A 7,147-nucleotide genomic window follows, 5' to 3' on the forward strand; every position below is an offset into this window, starting at 1 on the left:
AACAGAGCTCTTGGATGACTAGGTGCATTGTCAATGAGCAGTAATATTTTGAAAGGAATCTTTTTTTCTGAGCAGTAGGCTCAACAATGAGTTTAAAATATTCAGTAAACCATGCTGTAAACAGATGTGCTGTTTACATCCAGGCTTTATTTTTTCACTTATAGAGCATGGGGAGAGTAGACTTAGCCTAATTCTTAAGGGCTCTAGGATCATTAGAATGGTAAATGAGTATTGGCTTCAACTGAAAGTCACCAGCTGCATTAGCCCCTAACAAGAGAGTCAGCCTGTCCTTTGAAGCTTTGAAGCCAGTCATTTACTTCTCCTCTCTAGCGATTAAGTATTAAAAGCCATCATCTTTTAATAGAAGGCTGTTTTGTCTACATTGAAAATCTGATGTTTAATGTAACCACCTTCATTAATGATCATAGCTAGATCTCCTGGATAACTTGGTGCAGATTCTACATCGGCCCTTGCTTCTTCCCCTTGCACTCTTATGTTATGGAGATGGCTTCTTTCCTTAACCTCATGAATCAACCTCTGCTAGCTTCCAACTTTTCTTCTGCAAGTTTCCTCACCTCTCTCAGACTTCATAGAATTAAAGAAAGTTAGCACCTTGTTCTCGGTTAGGCTTTGTCTTAAGGGAATGTTGTGACTGGTTTGATCTTCTATCCAGATCATTAAAACGTTCTCTGTATCAGCAATAAGGCTGTTTTGCTTTCTTACCATTTATGTGTTCACTGGAGTAGCACTTTTAATTTCCCTCAATAACTTTTCCTTTGCATTCAAAACTTGGCTGCTTGGTACCAGAGGCCTAGCGTTTAGTCTATCTTGGCTTTTAACAAACCTTCCTTGCTAAGCTTAGTCACTTCTAGCTTTTAATTTAAAGTGAGAGATGTGTGACCCTTCCTTTCACTTGAACACTTAGAGGACATTTTAGGGTTATTAATTGGCCTAATTTCAATATTGCTGTGTTTCAGGGAGGCCTCAGGAGAGGGAGATGATGGAATTGCCGGTCAGTGGAGCAGTTAGAACACACACATTTACCAATTAATTTTACCATCTTATATGGGCACAATTTGTGGGGCCTCAAAACAAATACAATAGCAACGTCAAAGATCACTGATCACATATCACCGTAACCAATATAATATTAACAAAAGTTTGACAAAAAATTGACAAATGGGACTTAATTAAATTAAAGAGCATCTGCACAGCAAAAGAAACTATCAACAGAGTAAACTGACAACCTACAGAATGGGAGAAAATGTTTCCAAACTATTCATCTGGCAAAGGTCTAATATCAAAAATCTTCAAGGAACTTAAACTAATTAACAGTAAAAAAAAAAAACTACGGTAAAAAGCAGGCAAAGGACATGAACAGGCACTTTTCAAAAGAAGACATACATGCAGCCAATAAGCATATGAAGAAATACTCAATATCTCTAAACATTAGAGAAATGCAAACCCAAACTATAAGGAGATACCATCTCACACTAGTTAGAATGACTTTTTTTTCTTTTGACAGGGTCTTACTCTGTCACCCAGGCTGGAGTGCAGTGGTGTGACCTCGGCTCAACCTCCTGGGGTCAAGGGATCCTCCTACCTCAGACACCCTACTAGCTAGGACTACAGGTGCACACCACCACACCAGCCCAATTTTTGTAGTTTTTGTAGAGACGGAGTTTCACCGTGTTGCCCAGGCTGTTCTTGAACTCCTGCACTGAAGTGATCTGCCTACCTGGGCCTCCCAAGATGCTTGGATTACAGGCATGCGCCACCTCACTTTGCCCTAGAATGGCTATTATTAAAAAGCCAAAACATAACAGATGCTGGCAAGGATGCGGAGAAAAGGGAATGCTTATACACTACTGGTGGGAATGTACATTAGTTCAGACATTATGGAAAGCAGTTTGACAATTTCCAAAATAACTTAAACAGGGCTGGGTGCGGTGGCTCACACCTGTAATCTCAGCACTTTGGGAGGCAGAGGCAGGTGGATCACGAGGTCAGGAGTTCAAGACCAGCTTGCCCAACAGGGTGAAACCCTGTCTATACTAAAAGTAAAAAAATTAGCCGGGTGTGGTGGCATGCGCCTGTAATCCCAGCTACTCGGGAGCCTGAGGCAGGAGAATCGTTGGAACCCAGAAGGGGGAGGTTGCAGTGAGCCAAGATCACGCCACTGCACTCCAGCCTGGGCGACAGAGCAAGACCCCATCTCAAATTAAAAAAAAAAAAAAAGAACTTAAACAGAACTACCATTTGACCCAGCATCCCATTGTTTGGTATATACCCAAAGGAATGTGAATTGTTCTACCATAAAGACACATGCACACCTTTGTTCGCCACAGCACTATTTACAATAGCAAACAGATGGACTCAACCTAAATGCCCATCAGTGATAGACTGGATAAAGAAAATATGACACATACACACCATGGCATACTATGCAGCCATAAAAAAGAAAAAGATCATGTCCTTTGCAGCAATATGAATGGAGCTAGAGGCCACTATCCTAAGTGAATAAATACAACAGAACAGAAAAGCAAATACCGAATGTTCTCACTTATAAGTGGGAGCTAAACGTTGATTACACACGAACCTAAAGAAGGGAACAGACACCAGAGCCTACTTGAGGGTAGAGGGTGGGAGGAGGGTGAGGATCCAAAAACTACCTATGGGGTACTATGCTTATTATCTGGGTAATAAAACAATATGTACACCAACCCTCATGACACGCAATTTACCAATATAAGAAACTTGCATATGTACCCTTGAACCTAAAATAACAGTTTAAATAAATAATAAAATAAAGCACTCAAATTACTATGACATTTGGATAACCAGCAATGAGAACGGTTCAGCAATAACGGTTCATCCTTGTCAGCTTTCCTGCTAGAAACTAAATATGTATTCCTTGTCTTTGAAAAGAGCAATATGACACCAATATAGATACATTATCCTTTTCTGTGAAATCCATTATTTTCTTCTTATGCTACGTTATCTATCACAATTTATTATATTCCATGGGACATATATCATGCTTTGAAATATCCTCCAATGGGTTTACACCTTCAACTTCAAACACTGGAAAGACTTTTTTTTTTTTAAAAACAAGGTCTCACTCTGTTGCCAGGCTGGAGTGTGGTGGCGCAATCTCGGCTCACTGCAACCTCTGCCTGCCAGGCTCGAAGCATCCTGCCACCTTTCAGCCTCCCAAGTAGCTGGGACTACAGGCATGTGCCACCACACCCAGCTAATTTTTGTATTTTTAGTAGAGACAGGGTTTCACCCTGTTGCCCAGCCTGGTCTCAAACTCCCGAGCTCAAGTGATCTGCCCACCTCCGCCTCCCAAAGTGCCGTGACTATAGGTGTAAGCCACCATGCCTGGCCTGGAAAGACTATTCTTTGTGGTTAATAGTTCCAAACTCCCTCCAAAAATATTAGTAAAAGTTTAAAATATTGCAAGAGTTACCAAAATATGATACAGAGACATGAAGTGAGCACATGCCGTTGGAAGAATGGCACTGACAGACTTGCTCCATGCAGGGTTGACACAAACCTTCAATTTGAAAAAAGTGCAATATCTGTGAAGCTCAATAAAGGAAACTGCAATACAACATGATATTCCTATAGCTGTACTGAGATATAATTGACCTACAGCAAACTGAACATATATAAAATGTGCAATGTGATAAAGCTTTGACATATGTATACACCTGTGAAACTGCTTCCACAGTAAAAAATGAGCATATTTTTCTTGCTCCTCAAATTACCTCATGCTAATTAATTCCCTCCTCTGGCCTTATCCTATTCTCCAGGCAACCACTAATGTACTTTCAGTCACTATACATTAGTTTCCATTTTCTAGAATTTTATATACATGAAACTATTCAATATGTACCCTTTTTGTCTCTTCTTGTCTATCTTCTTTCATTCAGTGTATTTACTGTTTTTTCCCCCCTCTTAAAGACAGAGTCTTGTTCTGTTGCCCAGACTGGAGGGCAGTGGCACAATCATAGCTCATTGCAGCCTTGAACTCCTGTGCTCAAGAGATCCTCCTACCTCAGCCTCCCAAGTAACTAGGACTACAGTTGCATGTCACCATGCCTGGATTTTTTTTTTTTTTTTTTTTTTTTGTAGAGACAGACTTGCTATGTTGCCCAGGCTGTTCTCCAACTCCTGGACCCAAGTAATTCTCCTCCTTCAGTCTCCCAGTGTTAAGATTACAGGTAGGAGCCAACATGCCCAGCCTGTATTTACTGTTTTTAAAAAAACTGCCAAACTGCTTTGCAAAGTTTGGGTACTATTTTATATTCCCACTAGTAGTATATAAGAGTTTGAATTTTTCCACATTCTTGGCGACACTTTATATGGTCAGTCTAATAATTTTCATCTTATTATTATTTTTTTTGAGACTGGGTCTTGCTCTCTTGCTCAGGCTTTATTGCAGTGGTGTGATCACGGCTCACTGCAAACTCCTGGGCTCAGGTGATCCACCCACCTCAGCCTCCTGAGTAGCTGGGACTACAGGTGTACACCACTATGCCTGGCTAGTTCTTGTATTTTTAGTAGAGATGGGGTTTCACCACGTCCCAGGCTAGTCTTGAACTCCTGGGCTCAAGAGATCTGCCTGTCTTGGCCTCCCAAAGTGCTGGTATTACAAGTATGAGCCACCGCGCTCGGCCATGATCAGTCTATTTAAATTCTCATCATTCTAATAGGCACATAATGATATTTCATTATGACCTTAATTTGCATTTCCCTATTTACTAATGATGCTGCACATCTTTACATGTGCTTATTAGCCATTTATATGAATTGATGAAGTGTTGTTCAAATGTCTTGCCCATTTTTACTGGGCTGTTTTTTGTTTACTGAGTTTCCAGGGTTCTTTATATATTCTGATTACAAAACCTTTTTCAGATATATGCTATGCAAATGGTTTTTCCCAGTTCCCAGTTTGTATTTTCATTTTCTTATCTTTCACGTAGTAATTTTAAATCCAACTTATCAATTATTCCTTTTATGGATTATGCTTATGATGTCATAACTAAGACATCTTTGACTAACACAAGGTCACACAGATTTTCTCATGTTTTTTCTTCTAGATGCTTTTCAGTTTTATATTTAGATTCATTCTGTATTTTAAATTAATTTTTGCATATCGTGGAGGTGTGGATCAAAGTTTATACATTTTATTGGAAAATCCATTTCTTCCAACATTGGTTGTTGAAAAGACTATCTTTCCTCCACTGAATTGTTTGTATCTGGGACAAAAATCAAGTGACCATATATTCACTGATGCATTTTCGGACTCTTATTCCATTCCATTGATATATTTGTGGGCATTGACACCAACACCACACTGTCTTTATGCAGCTTTATGTGTCTTAAAGTCAAGTAGTGTTAAGTCCTCCAGTTGTGTTTTCCTTTTATAAATCGTATTAACTCTTTTCTTCACGTTTCCATGTAGACCTAAGCTCATCAATTTAAACAGGAAAACACAAGCCTTCAGTGTTTTTGACTGAGATATATATAATTTGATATGAGGACAAGTGACAACAATATTGAGTTTTGAGATTTATGAACATGTTATATTTCTGCATTTATTTGGATCTTTAAAAATGTTTCCCAGCAGTGTTTTATAACTTTTCGTATACATGTCTTACATATATTTTGTTAAATGTATCTCTAAATCTTTTTACATTGTTATATTATTAATTTTCCATTTCAAATTTTTTAATTGCTGGAAATACAACTGATGTTTGTATTTTGTGACCTTACTACACTCCTTTATTAATTCTAGTAGCTTTTTTTTAAAAAAGATAATCTTAATGTTTTCTACTTAATCATCTGTAAATAAAACCATTTTACTTCGTTACAATCTGCATACTTTTCTTGTTTTATTGGACTGGCTAGTCTAATATACAATTTTGCACTTACTGAAATCCACTGCAATATTGTATGGCAATGGTGAGAGCAGCCATCCTTGCCTTCGTCCCAAACTTAGTGGTAAGGCATTCAGTCTTTCACCATCAAGTATGGTGAAAGCTCTTATAGATAACTTTTTCAGATTAAATAAATTCCTTTTTATTCCTATATTGTTCTAACTCTTAAAAAATCATGAATGGGTGTTGAATTTTGTTGAATACCTTTTTCCTGCATCTATTGAGATAATAATTTAAAGATCGTTAATATGATAAATTACACAAATTAGTTTTCAATTGTTAAATCAACCTCTCATTCTTGAGACTAATCCTATTTGATCATAATATATCCTTTTAATATATTGCTGGATTTGATCTGCTAATACTTTCTTAAGGATTTTCCAGTCATAATTCATGAGAGATATCGGTCTATAGTTTTCTTATAATGTCTTTGTCTGGTTTTAGTGTTGGTATAATGCTGTCCTCATAAAATGAGTTATGCAGTATTCTTTTCTATTTTCTTGGAGTAGGTAGGATTGGTATCACATCTTCCTTAAATATTTGATAGAATTCACAAAAGAGGCCATCGGGCCTGGGATTTCTTTGTAGGGAGGATTTTAACTACAAATTCAATTTCCTTTATATATACGAGACTATTCAGGTTTCCTATTTCTTTTTCTTATGAAAACAGCTTTACTGATATTGTTGCACACCATACAATTCACCTATTATGACCGAACAATAGCTCTTTCTGTGGATATAGTTGATGGACACTTGGGTTGTTCTCACCCTTTGGCTATTATGAATGCTATGAATACTCATGTACAAGTTATCATGTGGACATTTCTGATGTATATGTTGCTGAGTCATATGGTGACTGTCTAACTTTTACAAACCTCAGACTTTCCTCTTAAATAACGTTAGTAATTTGTCTTTCAAAAAATATGTCCATTTCATCTAAGTTGTTGTATTGGATGAATTGATTATCCTTTTATTCTAGGTTCTGTAGTGTTGTCCCCTGCCATTACTGATATCAGTAATTTGTGTCTTCTCTGTTCTTTGGTCAGTCTAGATAGAAGTTTATCAATCTTATTTTTTCAAAGTGGCAGTTGCTTTGTTTGTTGTTTTGTCTTCAATCTCATTGGTTTCTGCTCTTTATTTTTTCCTTTTCAGCTTACTTTAGGTTTAACTAGTTCTTGTTTTTCTAGTTTCTTAAGATG

Source organism: Homo sapiens, chromosome 3 (assembly GCF_000001405.40).
Source record: "Homo sapiens chromosome 3, GRCh38.p14 Primary Assembly".
Taxonomy (NCBI): domain Eukaryota; kingdom Metazoa; phylum Chordata; class Mammalia; order Primates; family Hominidae; genus Homo; species Homo sapiens.